The 22407-nt window shown below is 40.8% G+C and overlaps 1 protein-coding gene across 18 annotated transcripts in view, besides 1 other annotated feature; it reads left to right on the forward strand.

Moving 5' to 3' along the window:
* The window catches only part of CATSPERE (catsper channel auxiliary subunit epsilon), a 189263-nt gene that overhangs the window by 155506 nt on the left and 11350 nt on the right, over positions 1-22407 (forward strand). For 11 of the 18 annotated variants that reach the window (XM_011544138.3, XM_047417109.1, XM_011544142.4 and 8 more), the window contains 2 exons: positions 3493-3579; positions 10782-10939. In XM_011544138.3, coding sequence (XP_011542440.1) covers positions 3493-3579; positions 10782-10939 — 245 coding nt within the window. Of the gene's footprint in view, positions 1-3492; positions 3580-10781; positions 10940-11070; positions 11312-11340; positions 11513-22407 lie in introns of those variants that run through there. The other 7 variants (XM_017000947.2, XM_017000951.2, NM_173807.5 and 4 more) reach the window with 5 other exon arrangements.
* Positions 17606-17806: a silencer, noted in NCBI's record as "peak807 fragment used in MPRA reporter construct". NCBI's record gives its function as "represses an SCP1 promoter by STARR-seq MPRAs in K562 erythroleukemia cells {active_cell/tissue: K562}" and the evidence as "EXISTENCE:reporter gene assay evidence [ECO:0000049][PMID:32103011]".

The raw sequence follows: 22407 nt of genomic DNA on the forward strand, positions 1-22407 counted from the left end.
CATGCCACTACACCTGGCTAATTTTTGTATTTTTAGTGGAGATAGGGTTTCACCATGTTGCCCAGGCTGGTTTCGAACTCTTGACCTCAATTGATCCACCCGCCTCGGCCTCGCAAAGTACTGGGGTTACAGGCGTGAGCCACCGTGACTGGCAATTGTCTTTCAGTTATGTAACCAAATACATCCGTCCCACCACACATTCCACCTATGCTTGTTCAGCACCTAATATGTAAGTTCTCCTGGTCTGCTTCCTCTGCACAGTCTCATCCCTATACTATTGTATCCATCTTCTCCCTTGGTCCAGACTCCCATCACTCTCTTCCTTCTCAAACCTTTCCATTATGCCTCAAGGTTAAACGCTCTAGATCCTTCTTCAATAAAAGTTCCTCAGAGGACAACCCTTTCCCTACAGTTCTATCGAACCAAGAGTACTCTTTCTCTCACCCCATATACTTAAGGGTGAGATTTGGGGTTGATGTTCTCCCTCATCCATAGTATCATTGCTGCACTTGGTCTTAGCCAAAAGGCCACTAAGAGATACAGTATCATTTCCAGGTCATTCTCTCTTCACTCTAAGTAAAACTCCATTTGTTTGAGGCTCCTGCCATTCAGTTGACATCTATGCCATCCCTACTTACTGGTACCGTATACTCAGAACTGGATCACTTTTCCTCCTGCCCTGAAAACAATCACCATGGATTCCTGAATTCTGCCATCCATCCTATGAGGGTATTGCTGGGAAAGTTTCTAAACAGGGACTACGTTTCCCAGATGCATTTGCATCTAGCTGGGGCCATATGACTGGTTCGCATGGCTGGAATATGAGCAGAAGTCATAGGTGTCACTTCCAGGTGAAGTGCTTAAGAAGGAATCACGTGAACCTTCACGCTTTCCATCATACCTCACATCAGTGTATTACAGCAACAAGTAAGGCTGGAGTAGATGAGAGCTGGAATGCAAGGAGCCACTACACATTTTTAAAAGCCTTGGTTCCTAATTCACTGCTTTGAGGAGAGGCACCGTCAGAACCATCTAACCAGGGACATCTGCACTGGGCTATATGTGATCAAGAATTAAACTTGTTGGCTAGGCACGGTGGCTCATGCCTATAATCCCAGCACTTTGGGAGGCTGAGGCAGGCCGATCACAAGGTCAGGAGTTTGAGACTGACCAACATGGTGAAACCCCATATCTCCTAAAAATAAAAAAATTAGCTGGGCATGCTGGCACACACCTGTAATCCCAGCTACTCAGGAGGCTGAGACAGGAGAATCGCTTGAACCCAGGAAGCGGAGGTTGCAGTGAGCTGAGATCGCGCCACTGCCCTCCAGTCTGGGTGACAGAGTGAGACTCCGTCTAAAAAAATAATAATAATAATTTTTTTAAAAAGAATTAAATTTGTATTTTGTAAATCCCCTGAGAGTTGGGGTGTATTATTGCAGCACGTAGAGACTATCTTGACTAATAACTAATATAGCAGCCCCCATTAAAACTACATTTAAGGACAGGGCATGGTGGCTCACACCTATAATCCCAGCACTTTGGGAGGTTGAAGCGGGATGATCGCTTGAGCCTAGGAGTCTGAGACCAGCCTGGGCAACATAGTGGAACCCCTTCTCCACACACAAAAATTTTTCAATTAGCCAGGTGTGGTGATGCACACCTGTAGTCCTAGCTACTCAGGAGGCTGAGGCGGGAGGATTGCTTGAGCCCAGGAGGTCAAGGCTGCAGTGAGCTGTGATCATGCCACTGCATTCCATCCTGGTTGACAGGGCAAGATCCTGTCTCAAAAAAAAAAAAAAAAATTGCATTTCAGTTCAAACAGTTTACCCTCTGACCTCAACCCCCAATCCTTTAGCTATCTCATTGTTATTCACACTACTCCAGTCTCCTACTTTGTCTCACACAACCTGGCCATCTGCTGTACTGAACCCTCTGCTTTCTCCTTCTCCCTCTCTCTCACGTTTCCTCCCTTCCCTTCCTATGCAGCGTGAGCTCCATAGTTCAATTCTCTAGCACCATCTTGCCAATATCGATTTCTCTGTATCTCTATCTGTATCTCATTTTTCCCAGTATTATTTCTGCTTGCTGTTAGGGCAACTTTAAACACTCATCTTTCTGCTTTATCCATGCCTGTGTCTGAGTTGCTCAATTCCTATCTTGGAGCTGATCACTTTCAGAAAAAAATTACAGCACTTTGGGAGGCTGAGGCAGGTGATCACTTGAGGTCAACTCCAAGACCAGCCTGGCCAACATGGTGAAACCCTGTCTCTACTAAAAATACAAAAATTAGTTGGGTGTGGTAGCACACACCTGTAGTCCTAGCTACTCGGGAGGCTGAGGCAGGAGAATCGCTTGAACCCAAGAAGTGGAGGGTGCAGTGAGCCGAGATTGTACCACTGCACTCCAGCCTGGGCAACAGAGCAAGATTCCGTCTCTAAACAAACAAATAAATAAATAAATCTTAGAAAATTATGAATAGATAGAAACATCCTTCACCTAATGAAATGTAGATACAAAACATTATGGCAAACATTATATTTAATGGTAAAAATTTGAAAACTTTCACTTTGAAATCAGGAAGAAAACAAGGATGGCCCTTATCACTTCCTTTTTTTTTTTTTAGAGAGTCTCACTCTGTCGCCCGGTCTGGAGTGCAGTGGCGTGATCTTGGCGCACTGCAACCTCTGCCTCCCAGGTTCAAGCAATTCTGCTGCCTCAGCCTCCCGAGTAGCCGGGGTTACAGGTGCACGCCACCACACCCAGCTAATTTTTATATTTTTAGCAGAGACAGGGTTTCACTGTGTTGGCCAGGCTGGTCTCGAACTCCTGACCTCTGGTGTTATCACCACTTCTAGGCAACACTATTCCTGAAGATCTTTGTAATAAGAAAAAAATAATAAAAACAAATAAAAGGTATAAGGATGGGAAAGAAAAACATAAAACTGTCATATTCGCAGATGACACAACTGTTCATGTGAAACAATTAGAATTAATAAGTGAGTTTAGAAATTCTCTCGGCCAAGCACATGCCTGTAATCCCAACACTTTGGGAGGCTGAGGCAGGAAGATGGCTTGAGGCCAAGAGTTCGAGGCCAGCCTTGGCAACATAGCGAGGCTCCATCTCTACAAAAATTAAAAAACTAAAAGTTAGCCAGGCATGCTGGCACACACCTGTAGTCCTAGGTACTTGAGAGGCTGAGGCAGGAGGATCACTTGAGCCCAGGAGCTCGAGGCTGCAGTGAGCTATGATCTTCCCTGCACTGCAGCCTGGGCAACAGAGTGAGACTCTGTCTCAAAAAAAAATTCTCTCAACACAAGATCAATATACAAAAATCAATTGTCAATTATTCCTCTGTATACCAGCCAACATTTAAATAATGTAAGTTTTAAAAATACAAAATTTTCAATAGCAACAAAACATTAAATACTTAGGAATAAGTTGATATGAAAACTTCTACCTACCCACATACATGTGCCATCTTTTGACAGAGTGGTTGTTTACATGAAGCACAGACATGGAAGTCAATGATTGAACTTAACAAGCACCTCCCACTAGAAGAAGTCTGGGGACCTGAGGTAAGAGAAACATTACCTTCCAGATTGTTTATTTGGAATAACTAATCTGGCATTTTGCTATTAACAAAAACTTGATGGAAACATTTTGGATTTAAATTTGCTTTGGTAAATCAAATCCTATTTTTATATTAAATTGTATCATGGTATTTTTAAAATGCTTCATCTTAATTTCTGTGTGATCTTTTGTTGGTTCTGTGTTACTATTTTAATTTTCACTGCTGTAAATATGTGTTTGCAGATTATTAAATATGTGTTAAACATGTGAAAGCATCAAGAGTGAGTCTTTGTAAAGACGACCTAGCTCCCTTACATTAACCTCAGGTCTTTACTGAAAAATCAAGTTGTCAATGAGGACTTCCCTGGCCACCATATGGAAAAACTTAACCATCACTTTCATGAAAGCGCATATTTCTCCCTATTTTCTTTCCTTTTTTTTTTTTTTTTGAGACAGAGTCTCTCTCTGTTGCCTAGGCTGCTAAGCTGGAGGGCAGTGGCACAATCTCTGCTCACTGCAACTTCCACCTCCCAGGTTCAAGTGATTCTCCTGCCTCAGCCTCCTGAGTAGCTGGGACTACAGGCATGTGCCACCACGCCTGGCTAATTTTTGTGTTTTTAGTAGAGACGGCATTTCACCATGTTGGCCAGGCTGGTTTTGACTCCTGACCTCAAGTGATCCACCTGCCTCAGCCTCCCAAAGTGCTGGGATTACAGGCGTGAGCCACCGCACCCAGCCTCCCTCCCCTATTTTATTTAATATCATTAGCGTTTATAACTATGACACATTACATAGCCTACTTTCAAAATCTTATTTATTTTCTAGCTCCCTTACTAGAATGTAAGCTCCATGAGGGAAATTTTGTTTTGTTCACTGCATCTAATGCATTATAGGTGCTCATTAAATATTTGTGGACCAAATTAATTAATTATAGATCATATACCTATTATAAAGAGTACTTTTCTACTGTTTAAAAATCATAAGGGGGCCAGGCATGGTGGCTCACACCTGTAATCCTAACACTTTCTGAGGCCGAGGCGTGTGGATCACTTGAGCCCAGGAGTTCAAGACCAGCCTGGGCAACATGGTAAGACCCCATCTTTACAAAAATTAAAAAAAAAAAATGAGCTGGGCCTGGTGGTGCATGCCTGTAGTCCCAGCTACTCAGGAAGCTGAGGTGGGAGGATCACTTGAGCCCCGACAGCTGAGGTTGCAGTGAGCCATGATCATGCCTCTGCATTCCAGCCAGGGTGACACAGTGAGACCTTGTCTCAAAAAAGAAAAAAAAATCAAATTAAAAAATAAAAATCATAAGGAATTAAACTGGTAATTAAATCAGTTAAAACGAAACTTACCCTCCTGATTTTTCATTGAAGGACATCCAAGGGTCTGGAGTTAGGGACAGGGATAAATGATAGGTGAGGATGATATCCCCAAATCTTACAAAAGGCACCTAAATATTCTAAGATTCTGCCGAAATAACATACTCCAAAGAAGCAGTGAGCTCACTGGGTAATTAACAATCATGAAGCTTGCCTCAATTGGTATGATATGGTACAATGGTTCTCAAACTTTAGCATACATCAGAATCTCCAAAAGACCTTGTTGAAATAGATGGCTGGGTCCCACTCCCAGAGTTTCTAATTCAGCAGGTCTTGGTTGGGGCCCAAAAATTTGCACCTCAATGATACTGATATGCTGATCTGGGGACTGCGTTTCAGAGCAATTGAAATAGTAGCGTACAGTCTAGAAAGACTCTGGAGTGCCCACGCCAGGCCCTGCGTGTTCCATTCTACTACATGAGAAGCTTAAAGCTTACCACTGAAAGGGTGAATTCAGTCTGAAGTCTGAATATAATAGAAAGCAGGTACCTGCAAAGACTAGTTATGTCCTCGTGAGTAAGTCTACTCTTACTGAAGGGTGTCATTATTACGTTGTATCTTAACTCAACAGGGCAATCAGGGCTGCTTTCTTCCTGAAACGTATACCTGAAATGAAATAGAAAGCCTTCCAGTTCTTGGAGCTACACTAATTGCTACATAGTCCTTCTGATTCTAGAAGGATGAACGACACCTACATTTTAAAAAAATCAGGGAAGAAGCTCTGGGACTGTAAATTCTTAGGGAAAACACTGAAGGACTCATAAGCAAGCGTGGCATTTTCACAGGTTCTCCTGGTAAGGTTGGAGGTTGAGAAGGAAAGGGAGAATATGGGTGCTGAGTGCTTGTCTACATCCACACGATACAGAATCCGATTTGAGTTTCTCGATGTGGCTGAAAATACTAGACTGGGAAGTCCTGGGCTAAAAATTGAGTATAATGCATGAGGCTAGGGGAGATTGATTGATTGATTGATTTTGAGATGAAGTTTCCCCTTGTTGCCCAGGCTGGAGTGCAGTGGTGCAATCTCAGCTCACTGCAACCTCTGCCTCCCGAGTTCAAGCAATTCTTCTGCCTCAGCCTCCCAAGTAGCTGGGATTACAGGCGCGGCACCACGCCCGGCCAGGAGATTTGTTTTCTAAGTGACTGGGTGATTTGATCAAGTGGGCTTTCGCATGAAAAAAGATGGGAGAAGAAACAATAATGGCGGGAGAGGGGGAAGTTTTAATAATATAACAGGGAATATCAGGCAGTGATATCTTTCTGGCAGTGACACAGAAAAAGGAGCAAGAGTCAGCAGGTATCATCATTCACATTAGGAAATAAGGAAATAGGAAACAATATAAATATTCCTGCATGTCTATATACAAAAATACATAATGATACAAGGCTATTAGGTCTTTACTAGCAATGCTTTGTTGTATGATATATGCACAGCTTCCAAACATACTTAGAATATACCACATACTTTTCCAATTAAGTTCATGGACCCATGTATTAAGTAACTTGGTAGGACAAGTTTCACAGTTTATTTTTGACCTGGAAGAACCCTTCACCAAAAAATATATTTTGTATTTTCAAGTGGGGATACATCAAAAAAACAAGTCTTTTACTTATTTTTCATTAACCCAACATATTGTTTTATAAAAGTGCTACAGACCACAATGGCAAAAAGGTAGACAACGGCAAGAAATGCTAGAAGAAACAGATTTTTTGAAAAACAACGTCAGAGTTTATCGAGACATATAGTAATATTTTTAAATTAAATATAATCAAGAGTTTTAGGGATGCCACTTATGATTAAAATGTAATTATAGGATAATTCACCTACATAAAATAAAATGACCTGCTAAGAAGGGAAATAGAGGAATTTTCAGTGAGAAGGCAATATTCAACCTTTATCCCTCCCCTTACAATAACTAGTCCTGATCTGTGTCCATTGAGGCTTCTGTTCCTCAGTTCCTACTCCTGAACCTGGCCTTTTATCAAACTAAGGATGCAGTGGCCTGTATACAAGAATCCTTCAAAAATCCTTCCCTGGATGATTAGTCAGTTCTGGTAGTATGTTTTGAATTTTTGTCCCTTCCAAAACTCATGTTAAAATTCCATCTCCAGTACAGCAGCATTGAGAGGGGGAGCATTTAAGAGGTGATTGGATCATGAAGGCAGAGCCCCCATACATGGATTAATCCATTCATAGATTAGTGGATTAATGGGATAATGGATTTGTGGGTTTCATGGGAGTGGGACCGGCAGTTTTATCACAATAGGAAGAGAGACCTGAGCTATCGTGCTCTGCCCCCTTGCCATGTGATGTCCTGTGACACTTTGGGACCCTGCAGAGTCCCCACCAGGAAGATGGCCCTCACCAGATGCAACCCTTCGACCTTGGACTTCTCAGCCTCCTTGGAAAGGAATGAATTCCTTTTCCTTATAAATTACTCCATTTCAGGTGTTCTGTTAAAAGCAACAGAAAACAAACTAACACACAGTGAAAGCCTCCGCAACTCAGCACAGGTCGCTCAAGCTGTGTTCCTAGAGCTTCTGCAGCTGGCACCACCCTGCACGTGAGTCAAGCTGTTGAGTCTCTCCCCTCCTTCCTTGGAGTTTCCTTTCCGGAAAGACTGCCACAGACAGGGCAGGTATAGCAACATGAGCACACAACACACTTAGATTCTTTACAGTGACTCTAACTGAAGCCAAAGAATCTATGACAAGCCTGTTTTCTCTGAAAGTTCCTTGACAGTACAGGTCCATACAACTCTACGCACAACAAAACTCTGTCCACCTTGTGATCTCCTCCTTTGCTTTTTATACAAACATCTTCCAAACTTTTCCCAGAGGTCTGTCCGAGTCGAGCGGGAACACATGTGTTCTCTGTCCCTGGTTACTGTTTACTTCCTCTGCTGTTTCATATCACAGTATCATTAACACGAGGAGGGAACCCACAGCCAAGGCAACCAGCCAGGGGTGTACACACAGCTCAGTATCAAGTGGGCCTTCTGCTCCATTTAGTCAGACTGGGTTTTTGGCTCCAATCACACTTGTGGTTACCAGAATATAAAGGGTAAGCAACCTTCTCCTCCTCATCTTTTTTCTTATTTTTAAAATTAATTTTTTTATTTTCATTTTTACCATGTAATATATGCATGTAAAACTCCTCCTCATCTTGATGGCCTACACATATTACTCTGAATTCAGTTACGTAACATGTTACATTTTTATCTGGAATGCATTTTAACCTAAAATTTTATTACTCCAAACAATTGTCCTTCAACCTGGCTGGGGCACTGGCACTCTGATGAACGACCTCTAAACATTCCTCTCATTGTTGCAGCCCTCATTGTTAATTCATATTCCTGGGAGATTGGTAGAGCTGCCCCGCCACCACCCCAGCTATGTCCTGGGGTTGGGAACAAAAGAATCTGTGCCTGTCAGCTTCTGGAATGAAAGGTGGGGACTTGGAATTACCCTCACTCTGATGATATCCAAAAGGAATCAGCATTCTATTAAAAATGACAATGGACTTTGGGCAGACCAAAAAAAAAAAAAAAAAAGACAAATATCCACAAACATTGCTCTCAGGAACAGGTGCTACTGGAATTCTTTAATTAAAGTTATACTGTTAAATTAGCTGCAGACCTTGATGACTATTTCATCTCCTAGAATAAATGAAGAATACAGTCATACATCACTTAACAATGGGAATATGTTCTGAGAAATGCTTTGTTAGGCAATTTTGTCATTATGCAAACATCACAGAGAGCACTTACACAAACGTAGGCGGTGTAGCCTACTAGATAACTAGGCGATATGATAGAGCCTATTGCTCCCAGGCCACAAACACGCACAGCATGTTACTATAGTGAATAACGTAAGGAAATGGTAAGTATTTGTGCAATAGGAATTTTTCAGCTCCACTGTAATCTTACGGGACCACTATTGTATATGTGTTCTGTCAGTGACCAAAACATTGCTATGCAGTACATGACTGTAATTGATTATTGGAATGGAAGTAATAGTATGTAGGATATGTCTGTATCCTCACATTTCATGATATCCAGGTAAGTAACGGCAGGCATAATCAGAACTGTACCTCGCATCTGAATAAAACAATTTTCAAAAATTTCAGGCCAAATGTTGTGGCTCATACCTGTAATCCCAGCACTTTGGGAGGCTGAGGAGGGAGGATTGCTTAAGTCCAGAAGTTCGACAGAAATCTGGGCGATATAGTGAGACCCCCATCTCCTAAAAAAAAAAAAAAAAAAAAAGTAAAAAATTAGCCAGGCATGGTGGCACATGCCTGTAGTCCCAACTTCTAGGGAGGCTGAGGCAGGAAGATTGCTTCAGCCTGGGCGATCGAAGCTTCAGTGAGCTGTGATCATGCCACTGAACTCCAGCCGGGGTGTCAGAGCGAGACTCCATCCCTAAAAACAAAACAAAACAAAACACAGATTAATTCAACAAATGTATCTTGACTACTGTGTGCCAGACTGAGGATACAGCAGTAAGCAATAAGCTTCCCTCTAGAGCTTATCGTTATTGCCATCTAATCATGATAACATTTTTGTCCATAGAGTTGCCATGAGGAAGTCTCTTTGAGACTGTGCAAGAGCTGATTGATTGCAAAGCTCTATTGACTGGGAAGATGTTCATGAAGGAGGAATATTTCAAAATACGTAGAAAAAAGAAAATACCATTTTCTGAGTACATTTTGTGCTGCTATAACAGAATGCCAGAGGCTGGGTAATCTATAATAAACAGAAATTTATTGGTTCATGATTCTGGAGGGTGGGAAGTCCAAGATCAAGGAGCTGGCATCTGGCAAGGGCCTTCCTGCTGCATCATCAGATGGCAGAAGGCAAAAGGAGAGAGAGGGTGAGGGCGAGTGAGAGGGCAGGCGAGGGAGGCTGAACTCATCCTTTTATAAGGAACCCACTCCGTGACAACGGCATTATCTCATTGATGAAGGTAGTGCCCCTGTGATCCAAACTCCTGGTGGGACCAATTAGACCTCACTTTCCATCTCAACTTTTGGGATCAAGTTTCCAACACATGAACTTTGAGGGATGCATTCAAACCATAGTAACCTTGAAGGATGTTGATAGACAAAAGCTCAGACACATCCAAAGTAATTGCCTTACAAGGCTTCCTGTTTCCTTCAAATGAGAAGCTTTCAGAGAGCAAGAATGGTAGAAGAAGAGTCCTTTAAGTAGGGTGTGAAAACATACAGGATCTAAGAGGACCCAGAACCAGTGCCATGTAATAGTAGGATCAGGTATCTGCCAGTTTTAATAATCATTTTCTTTCATTGTATTTGTTTTAACAGAGTAACTTTTAAAAATACAGGCTTGTTTCATCTGTGTTTTTAAAAAGGCAGGCAGGAGATAGTTTGTATCTTGAGACCCACAGAAAGACATGGTAATGGTAATGGGGCTAAATGAAGATCCTAGGGCAAGATAAAAACCCAAGGATGTACCATCTTGACTGTTGTGTCTGTACCTTATGATCAAAACTGTTTCTGTCCCCAATTAAGCATCTTTGGAACATTTTGTATTTTGTTGATTTAGGAAAATAATATGCTTACATATTCTCAACACTCTAATGTAATTGTTTGTAAATACAACATTTGCTTTCACTAAGCTTCACTTTTTATCAAAGTTTAACCCAGTATCGCTCTTAAAGTGCTATAAAGAGCACTGCAGGGGTAAAATAGAAGGGAATAGCCATTACATCTCTAAATAATTTTCCAAGATAAATGAGACTATAATTTTGCGTATCAAAGTCATAAAATGACCTTAAAATTTTTGTCTTTGTTTCTTGTTCAGAACTATAAACACTGTTTTTCTTATGCTATTGGAAAACCAGGAGACTTAAATCAACCATACGAGATTATCAACAGTTCTAATGGTAACCATATATTTTGGCCCATGGGCCATTCTGGAATGTATGTATTTCGTGTGAAGATCCTGGATCCAAACTATAGGTGAATATATGTGTTACTGTAATAGTGTTAGCATTAGTTCTTCAAAATCTTTATTTTTTTAATTTGATGCATCCTATACATTCAATCATTGTTATTCTTGTTATTTACATATTTGCTTTTTCATTTTGTAGCAATCACATGAAACATTCTATGTGGGTAGAAGATTTTATGTTGTGTTAATTAAATTAATCAATTTACAATTACATTCTGAGGACTTTCCTGGGTTCAGTTGCCATGAAAGATCCAAATATAGGCACAGTCTCATCCTTCAAGGTATTTACAATTAAGCTGCCTGGAGAAGGAGGAGTTGGGGGAGGGATGCACATAAAAGCCAAGAAAAGTTAAATCAGAGCAAAATACAGGAGGTATTTTTCAAATATAATTATTTGCATTATTGACAGGCACAATAGTAATTCAGAGATGGGAAAGATTAATGCTATTTTGAGCAGTAAAAGAAAACTTTCTGGAGAACACAGAACATCAGTAGAATTTACATTGCCAGAAGACAGAGACAGACGCTTCCAGTGAAAGAAATCACACTAATAACGGAATGGAGCTAAACGTTAGCAAAAGGTTAGCATATTGTCTATGGCTTGTGGAGTCGCAAAGGAAGGCAGAAAGTGCTCTGAATGGGGAAGGTAGAAAACAAAGGAAGGAGACAAACTTACAGCAATTCATAATGTTTAAGTAAATTTCAGCCCATGTCCTAGAGACCTTCATTAGTGTCTTCACTAGGAAAACGGTGTGATGAAAGCATAGTTCTAGGGAAATTAGCCTGAGAATAGCAGAAAGAATGGTGCAGAAGAAAAATAGACCAGGCACGGTGGCTCACGTCTGTAATCCCAGCACTTTGAGAGGTCAAGGCGGGAGGATCACCTGAGGTTGGGAGTTCAAGACCAGCTTGACCAATATGGAGAAACTGTCTCTACTAAAATACAAAATTAGCTGGGTGTGGTGGTGCATGCCTGTAATCCCAGCTACTCAGAAGGCTGAGGCAGGAGAATCGCTTGAGCCTGGGAGCCAGAGGTTGCGGTGAGCTGAGATTGCGCCATTCATTGCACTCCAGGCTGGGCAACAAGAGGGAAACTCCATCTCAAAAAAATAAAAATAAAAGTAAAAATAAGCTCTACATGGATAATGGAGAAGAGTGACGTTAACAAGGAAAGAGGTCAAAGGAAGGCCTAGTGGCAGTAAGAATGGAAAGAAGGGAAAAAAGAGTCTAATGATGAGAGATTCTATTGATCTAACGTGGCAAGTAAAGAAGGAAACGATATAGTTTCATGTTTTCTAGGCCAGGTGATTAAAATAGTGGCATTTCCTTTGACCACAATAGGTAATGGGGTGGTTTTTCTGTGGGTGAGGTATTGAGATAAGAGTTCTGACTTTGAATTTGAGGGGACAATGAGACATCTAAGCAAAGATGTCCTATAAACAGTTAAGAATTCTAATCTGGGCCTGGAGTGGAAAGGAAGAGCTGATGATAAAAAGTTAACAATACGGATGTGGGTACCTTCTATGGGGATTCCAGGAGCATACATAAGTTAGCTGACTGATTATAAATAGAGAATGGAAGGGCTTTGGGGGACACCCACTGTTAAGGAATTTGGGGTGATGAGGAAGGGCCAGACCACTGAGTTCTTCAAATAAAAGAAAAATGAAGACAAAAACAGAAAGTTAATTTTTAAAAATGCAGTAAAACAGGATATTTAAAGGTGACTGTCACTAACAGAGAGGTCCTAAACATGTTCTAAAATCATGATAATCAATGCAGGATTTGAAAAGAGGGTGTCTCAAAACTGGTTATTTCCACTATTAGCCCCTAAGCTATTCAAAGGCAGCTTTGAAAGAAGGCTGGGAGTTCATAAGAAAGGCTAATGGAGAGTATTTCTTCCAAGAGACTTTTCCGAATGCCATGGGGACAAGAATACTTCCCCACAAGTAAGAGGGGGCTTCGGAAAACCACTCAGGGAAACTAACAGGGGCCTCCTGGTTTGGGGATGGGAGAACACGTATTATGCCTAATTCTCATCTGGAAAGTTTGAAGGTAAGAGGATGCCTACAGGTGCACTGACAATAGGACACATTAAATGGGATTTAAAAAATGACATTTTATAGTGATATGAGGTATAATCCATAAGGAAGATAAAATATTCATGAATTTTATGCACCCAACAAAAAGCCAGACAATACATGAGACTAAAACTATTAGAAACAGGGTAAGCATATGACAAAACCACAATTTTATTAGGAGACTTTAATATATCTTTCTCAGAATCTGATAGATCAAGTAGTCATAAAACAGATAAGCAAGTGGAGAATGTGAATAAAATTATTCATTAACCTAAGTCAAGAGATAAGTAAAGTGGAGTCTTGGCTTATCCAGGAATTAGGACCTAAAGTCAGTTTGTAAAAGGATATTATTGTATGTGGCCGAAATTCCTTTTGATTTCTCGTAAAAGGTGTCATGCTAGAAACTGAAATAGCATCTCTCAGTGAGTCCAGTAGAGCCAGTAGTTCCACCAACATTTCAACAGATCGCTGTTTCTTTCATTTTGTCCCAGTTCAAATACTTGATCCACATTTTAAGCCATGTGGTAGAAAAAATGGGTGCTGTTTCTCTTTTAACACTGCAATCATATTTGTTGTGTAAGATGTTCACATGTGAAAGGCTGAGCAGAACTAAGACCAGCTATGAAAAGGGAAGATTCCAGTTTCCCATCTCTCATTCACTTCAGAATAGAAGCACATTGAGTGGGTCGTGGGGAGAATCTGCTGTATCTTACAATACCTACAGAGCACACATATTCTCTTCCAGTGCCTAGGGAAACACTGTAAGTTACAATAATCTCATGGTGAACCAAAAATAAAATTTTAACAAGTGAAAGAACATCATTTTATAGGCTACAATTCAGGCTAGAAACTAAAAAATATAAATAGCATTCTATTTCTTACAATATGACAGATTTAGTGTTCAGGGGAAACCTTTCCTGTACAGTACGTTTAACACACATACACCTTTTAAATGCGTGGCCACATTGATAGGAAACTGAGGGGATTATTTATAGGCCAGGAATTCCGAAAAAGTACAGATTCATTAGATCCTATTGGAGTTCTCTAAAGACACTCTATCCCCCCTAGGGTTATCTGCATATCCCTGGTGACCTGGATCACAAGGCAACATGTAGGACAAAGGAGGACAAGTGTAAGGCCCTAGCAGAGACAGAGATTAGATCAGAGAACCTAAGGCTTTGAAGGGCAAAATCCTTAGGGAAGATGGCAAGGATACATGCCTGAATCAATCTTGGCTCCAGATTAAAATATATATATATAAAATATATATAAATATATATAAAATATATATATAAATATATATAAATATATATAAAATATATATATAAATATATATAAAATATATATAAATATATATATAATATATATATAAATATATATAAAATATATATATTATAAAATATATATATTATATATAGATATATTTATATAGATATATTTATATAGATATATTTATATATATATTTATATAAATATATTTATATAGATATATTTATATAGATATATTTATATAGATATATCTATATAGATATATCTATATAAATATATAAATATATAAAATATATATATATATATATATATATATATATTCCCTAAGAGTTTTAACTGTAAATCTACACTCAATAGATTTAAGCCTGGATTTCATATTAGCTGACTGTCCAAAAAGAATAATAATCTAGCCAAAAATTTAAAGTGGCCCCAGCTTATGAGTGCCTCCAATATGCTCAGCAGAAGCAAATGTATATACCCTCTGGAGGATTGTGCTTTAAGCTCAAGCCTCAGAAAATCCCGAAAGGAAAAGCGCCAACCAACAAAACATAAGAAAAGGAGAAACCACAAACCAGGGTCAACAGAAACAACAATCCACAAAACCAACCTACAAAGTCTTCCAATACTGGGTTTATTAGATACAGAATACAAAATATCTTAGCTTAAATGCTGAAATTTATTTATAAGAGAGCTCTGAAAGTATGATGAAAGACCAAGAAACTATCCAAGCTGACCAGAAGACCTGGAAAGAAACAGAGAAGATTTCTAAAAATGAAAAATATAATCAGCTTAACTAAAAACTCAATACACAGATTAAACAAGAGACTGCATTCATGAAAAGAAAATTAGTCAACTGAAAGAACAAATGTCCACTACAGTCCACATCATCATTTACTTCTCCAAAAAGTTCAACTTCCAAATACCTCCACCTACCACAGTGTCATTAACCGTAAATAATCACAAATGTACTTATTAGGCCCCAAAAGGGAACAAACTGAAGTCTCACAGTTTATCGCATCTATCTCCAAGTCCAAAGTCTGAATGACACCCAGGCCTCCTCTAATTTTGTCATGATCCTGCCTTCCTATTCTGTACCCTGTGGCCTTTATGGTGGCAGAGTTTACCACTACCAACACACCGTAAGGTTTTATGTAATAAAAGACTAGGGGAAATGGGAGAAAGAAAGATCAGTTCAAATAGATGACAGCTAGGTAGAAAATAAGTACAGATACTATATTCCTAGTATCTATATGTGGTCCTGAAGCTATAGTTAGTATTTTTTGTTTTCTCCATTTTCTAACCTATGTTCACTATGTCTTTAGCCAGCATTTCAGGTTTATTTCCTAGCAGAATAACCTTAATTTTCTTTCCTTTTCTTTTTTTTTTTTTTTTTTTTGAGACAGGTTCTCATTCTGTCACCCAGGCTGGAGTGCAGTGGCGTGATCTCAGCTCACTGCAACCTCCACCTCCCGGGTTCAAGAGATTCTCCTGCCTCAGCCTCCCGTGTAGCTGGGATTACAGACATGTGCCACCACGCCCGGCTAATTTTTGTGTTTTTAGTAGAGACAGGGTTTCGCCATGTTGGCCAGGCTGTCAATTTTCATTCCTAAGGAATCTGAGCTCTTAGCAATCTCTATCTGTACATTCCTGGGGCCATAAGTGAAATCGTGAAATTCCACTCCCAGTTCCATCACTTTGGTTCTTAGATTCCCATATTCTGGCTGTGGGAGAAACACCTCCAAATCTTACTCACCGACAAGAGTATTTACTTCATCCAAAGAGAATTCCCCAACCTCACAGATAACCTTTCCTGCTAGCTTTACAGCTTTATAATATAATCATCCACACCAGAGCACTTCTGCGAGTAAAATAAAGCTTTATTAACATTTACACCCAAGCAGCAGGTATATACCAAAAGTGTCCTAGGTAGCCAGTAATTATGATTACCCTCATAATAAATAGCAGCCTTAAAAGTCCATGCTACTATTCTATGAGGCTAGTGAATTACATGTATATCAGCCATTTGTCTTATTTTTATTTATTTATTTATTTATTTATTTATTTTGAGACTGAGTCTTGCTCTGTTGCCCGGACTGAAGTGCAGTGCAGTGGCGTGATTTCAGTTCACTGCAACCTCCACCTCCCGGGTTCAAGCGATTCTCATGCCTCAGCCTCCCGAGTAGCTGAGACTACAGGCACCTGCCACCACACCTGGCTAATTTTTGTATTTTTAGTATAGATGGGGTTTTGCCATGTTGGCCAGGCTGGTCTCAAACTGCTGACCTCAGGTGATCTGCCCACCTTGGCCTCCCAAAGTGCTAGGATTACAGGTGTGAGCCACCACCTCGTTACCTTCTTTTGCTTTAAAGTGAGTTCCTTGGCTAGAAGCAATCTTGTGGGGATAACATGAAAATACATATGACACTCGTTATATCCATGTGTGGTGTTGCAGGCAGAGGCTTTGTAGAAAAGGCAAATTCAAATCCCAAACATGTCACAGAAAGAATAAATCACTGTCCCCTCCATGACATAATCAACCTGTCACCAGATGGCTGTCTGATGCCTCTGGATTCATATACACAGAGAAGGCTTTGGTTGGTTGCTGCCACTACCAAATACAGGCGCACCCCAGAGATACTGTAGGTTTAGTTCCAGACCCCTGCCGTAAAGCGAGTCATGTGAATTTTTTGGTTTCCCAGTGCATACAAAACTTATGTTTACACTATACTGTAGTCTATTAAGTGTGCAACAGCATTGCACATTGTCTAAAAAATATATAACCAGCTTAATTTAAAAAATACTTTATTGCTAAAAAATGCCAACAATCATCTGCGCTTTTAGCAAGTCATAATCTTTTTGTTGATGGAGGGTCTTGCCTCAGTGTTGATGGATGCTGACTAATTGGGGTGGTGGTTGCTGATGGCTGGGGTGGCTGTGGCAGTTTCTTTTTTTTTGAGACGGAGTCTCACTCTGTCGCCCAGGCTGGAGTGCAGTGGCGCAATCTCAACTCACTGCAAGCTCTGCCTCCCGGGTTCACACCATTCTCCTGCCTCAGCCTCCCAAGTAGCTGGAACTACAGGCGTCCGCCACCATGCCCAGCTAATTTTTTTTTTTTTTTTGTATTTTTAGTAGAGACAGGGTTTCACCGTGTTAGCCAGGATGGTCTCAATCTCCTGACCTCGTGATCCGCCCACCTCGGCCTCCCAACGTGCTGGGATTACAGGCGTGAGCCACCACGCCTGGCCGGCAGTTTCTTAAAATAAGACAACAGTGAAGCTTGCTGAAACTATTCCTTCCATGAAAGATTTCAATGTAGCATGCGATGCTGTTTGGCAGCATTTTACCCACAGTGGAACTTTCAAAATTGGAGTCAATCCTCTCAAAGCTTACCACTGCTTTATCAACTGCATTTATGTAATATGATAAACACTTTGTTATTTCAACAGTATTGACAGCAACTTCACTAGGATTAGATCTCATCTCAAGAAAGCAACGCTGGGTGTGGTGGCTCATGCCTGTAATCCTAGCACTTTGGGAGTCACAGGCGGGTGGATCACTTGCGGTCAGGAGCTCGAGACCAGCCTGGCCAACATGGAGAAACCCCTTCTCTGCTAAAAATACAAAAAGTTAGCCGGGCATGGTGATGGGCGCCTGTAGTCCCAGCTACTTGGGAGGCTGAGGCAGGAGAATTGCTTGTACCTGGGAGGCAGAGGCTGCAGTGAGCCGAGATCGCACCACTGCACTCCAGCCTGGGCGACAGAGCGAGAGTCCATCAAAGAAAAAAAAAAAAGAAACCACTTTCTTTGCTCATGTATGAGAAGCAAAGTGCTATCATCCATTCAAGTTTTATCATGACATTGTGGCAATTCAGTTCCATCTTCAGGCTCCACTTCTAATTCTACTTCTCTTGCTATTTCTGCCACATGTGCAGTGATTTCCCCCACTGAAGTCTTGAATCCCTCAAAGCCATTCATGAGGGTTAGAATCAACTTCTTCCAAACTCCTGCTAATGTTGATATTTTTACCTTCTCCCATGATCATGAATGTTCTCAATGGCATCTAGAATGGTGAATACTTTCCAGGTTTTCAATTTATTTTGTCCAGATACATCAGAGGATTTACTATCCATGGCAGCTATAGCCTTATGAGATGTAATTCTTAAATAGTAAGACTTGGAAGTCAAACTTACTCATTGATCGTGGGTTGCAGAATGAATATTGTGTTAGTAGGCATGATAGGCATGAAAACAACATTGATCTTGAACACCTCCATCTGAGCTCTTGGGTGACCAGGTGCATTGTCAATGAGTAGTAATATTTTGTTTTTTGGGGGGGTTTATTTATTTATTTTTTACTTTATTTTTATTATTATTATTATTATTTATATATATATATATATATATATATATTTTTTTTTTTTTTTGAGATGGAGTCTCACTCTGTCTCCAGGCTGGAGTGCAGTGGTGCGATCTCGGCTCACTGCAACCTCCACCTCCAGGGTTCAAGCAATTCTCCTGCCTCAGCCTCCCGAGTAGCTGGAACTACAGGCATGTGCCACCATGCCCGGCTAATTTTTGTATTTTTAGTAGAGACGGGGTTTCACCATCTTGGCCAGGATGGTCTCGATCTCTTGACCTTGTGATCCGCCCACCTTGGCCTTCCAAAGTGCTGAGATTACAGGTGTGAGCCACCGCGCCTGGCCTATTTTTATTCTTTTATTTATTTATTTACTTTACTTTTTAAAATAAGAGAGAGGGTCTGGTTCTGTTGCCCAATCTGGTTTCAAACTCCTGGGCTCAAGCAATCCTTTTGCCTCGGCCTCCCAAAGTGCTGGGATTACAGGTGTGAGCCACCATGCCCGGCCAAGTAGTAATATTTTGAAAGGAATCTTTTTTTTTTTCTGAGAAGTAGGTCTCAACAGTGGGCTTAAAATAGTGAGTAAAGCATTCTGTAAACAGATATGCTGTCATCCAAGCTTTGTTATTCCACTTATAGAGCACAGGCAGAGTAGACTTACCATAATTCTGAAGGGCCCTAGAATTTTTGGAATGGTAAATGATTGCTGGCTTTAACTTAAAATCGTCAGCTACATTAGCCTCTAACAAGAAAGTCAGCCTATCCTTTGAAGCTTTGAAGCCAGGTACTGATTTCTCTTCTCTAGCTATGATAGTTCTAGGTGAGGCTGGGCATGGTGACTCACGCCTGTAATCCCAGCACTTTGGGAGGCCAAGGTGGGTGGTCGCCTGGGATCAGGAGTTCGAAACCAGCCTGACCAACACTGTGAAACCCTATCTCTACTAAAAATACAAGACTAGCCAGGTGTGGTGGCAGGCACCTGTAATCCCAGCTACCTGGGAGGCTGAGGCAGGAGACTCGCTTGAACCCAGGAGGTGGAGGTTGCAGTGAGCCAAGATCACACCATTGCACTCCAGTCTGGGCAACAAGAGCAAAATTCCATCTCAAAAAAAAAAAAAAAAAAAAAAAGTCCTAGATGGCATCTTCTTCCAACAGAAGGCTGCTTCATCCACACTGAAAATCTGTTGTGTAGTGTAGCCACCTTCATCAATCATCTTAGCTAGATCTTCTGGATCAGTGGCTGCAGCTTCTCCATCAGCACTTGCTGCTTTGCCTTGTAATTTTATGTTATGCAGATGGCTTCTTTCCTTAAACCTCATAAACCAACCTCTCCTAGCTTCAAACCTTCCTTCTGCAGCTTCTTCACCTCCCTCAGCCTTCCTAGAATTGAAGAGAGTGCTCTAAATTAGGCTTTGGTTTAAGGGATGTTGTGGGTGGTTTGATTATCTGTCCAGACCATTCAAACTTTCTCTATATCCGTAATAAGGCTGTTTCACTTTCTTACCATTCATGTATTCACTAGAGTAGCACTTTTAATTTTCCTTCAAAAACTTTGCATTCACGATGTGGCTAACTGTCGGTGCAAGCCCAGCTTTCAGCCTGTCTCATCTTTCAACATGCCTTCCTCACTAAGCTTAATCATTTCTAGCTTTTGATTTAGAGTGAGAGACATGTGCCTCTTCCATTTACTTGAACACGTAGAGGCTATTTTAAGGTTATTAATTGGTCTAACTTCAATATTGCCGTGTCTCAGGAAGTAGGGAGGCTGAGGGGAGAGATGCGGGATGGGGGTCAGTGATCAGTCAGAGCATACGTAACATTGATTAAGTCCACTATCTTATATGGTCGCAGTTCATGGTGCACCAGGACACTTTCAATAGTAACATCAGAGATCACTGACCACAGATCTTATAACAGATATAATAATAGTGAAAAAGGCTGGCACTTTGGGAGGCCAAAGTGAGAGGACAGCTTGAGGCCAGGAGTTCAAGACTCACCTGGGCAACACAGTGAGATCCCATCACTACAACAATTTTTTAAAAAATATTATCCAGGCACGGTGGCATGTGTCGGTAGTCCTAGCTACTCAGAAGGCTGAGAGGGAGGATCACTTGAGCCCAGAAGGTCAAGGCTGCAGTGAGCTGTGACTGTGCCACTGCCCTCTAGCCTGGACGACGGAGCAAGACCCTGTTAAAAAAAAAAAAATTGAAATACTGTGAGAATTACCAAAATGTGACAGACACAAAGCAAGCACATGATGTTTATAAAAATCAAAGGTTTGTGTTAATCCCGTGTTGAGCAAGCCTGTTGGTGCCATTCACAGTATCTGCCAAGCACAGTAAAGGGAAACTCAATAAAACAAGGTTTACCTGCATGCTATTTCTCCTTATCCACAGTTTCGCTTCCCATGATTCACTTACTTACAATCAACAGTGGTCCAAAACTATGAGATAGAAAATTCCAGAAGTAAACAATTCATAGATTTTAAATTGCATGCCATTCTGAGCAACATGATGAAATGTAGCACTGTCCCACCTCATCCAGCCTGGGATGTGAATGATCTCTTTGTCTAGTGTATCAGTGCTATGTGCATAACCTGCCTGATAGTCACTTAATAGCCATCCTGGCTATCAGATCCATTGTAGCGTTAAAGCAATACTGTTGTGTTCCCGTAACCCTTACTTTACTTTGTAATGGCCACAAAGTGCAAAAGTAGTGATGCTGTCATGTCGTTATAATTGTTCTATTTTATTACTAGTTATTGTTCAGCTCTTACTGTGCCTCATTTACAAATTAAACTTTATCATAGGTTTGTATGTATAGGAAAAACATAGCTATATGTAGGGTCTGGTACTATCCATGGTTTCAGGCATCTAGTGGGGGTCTTGGAACTATCCTCTGTGGATAAAGGGGGACTAGTGCATGGTATTTTGTAGTGGTGGTATCCAGGTCATCCTTGGTAAGGGAAATCCATGCTTATAAGGCCATACTAGGCACCACAGCCCCATTGTTTATGAGCCCATTGAGCAAGCATTCGAGTAGCTGGGGAAATAGGCTAACCATATGGTGCTCAGGTGGTAAAGTAAGAGCTTCCTCTCTAGTAAAAGTGTTTTGATAAACATTCACATAAAACCCCAAATTTCAGATCTACTAGTCTCATTCTAAGAATTTCATCTCCATGCTTTTCCCTAATATTTCTTCTCATCAACTCTTGTTTTTTCCAAGTCCTGGCCATGTCACCACATATTTACCCCTGCCTGTGATTATGCCTCAGGCCATCTCTCCTATTAGGAAAAGTGGGAAAATTATCGTACTTGAAGATTTTTATGCTCGGAGGCCTTTTCTTCTCCACTGTTCCTCAAGACTACATCTGGATGGAGCTATAGCGCCACAGCTGTCCACATCTAGATTCAGAGCAATCTGTAAATCTTTCTCATATTTTTTTCATCAGCGAGGAACTCCCCACATCTAGGCAAATGGGAGCTGAGTCAGCTATTCACGTGCTTATTTGTGCATTTCGGCATCCCAAGACCAGTTCTGTACTTACACTTCATGACAGAGTTCATTTGAGCACTTCTGACTTCCTGGTGTTAGAGATAAGACTAACACTCAGTTATAAGAGGCAACCCAGGTTTCATGGTTACTTGGTGTTTGGGGGTCAGAAGTTCAATTTCTGCCAATACCTAAGCCATGAGCGGTTTCTCAAGAGAACTGTTACTTGCCCAAGAGTACTTGCTTTTGCTTCAAAACTGTAGAGGCATCTGCTGATATTCC

The sequence above is a fragment of the Homo sapiens genome, chromosome 1 (genome assembly GCF_000001405.40).
Source record: "Homo sapiens chromosome 1, GRCh38.p14 Primary Assembly".
In the NCBI taxonomy this organism is placed as follows: domain Eukaryota; kingdom Metazoa; phylum Chordata; class Mammalia; order Primates; family Hominidae; genus Homo; species Homo sapiens.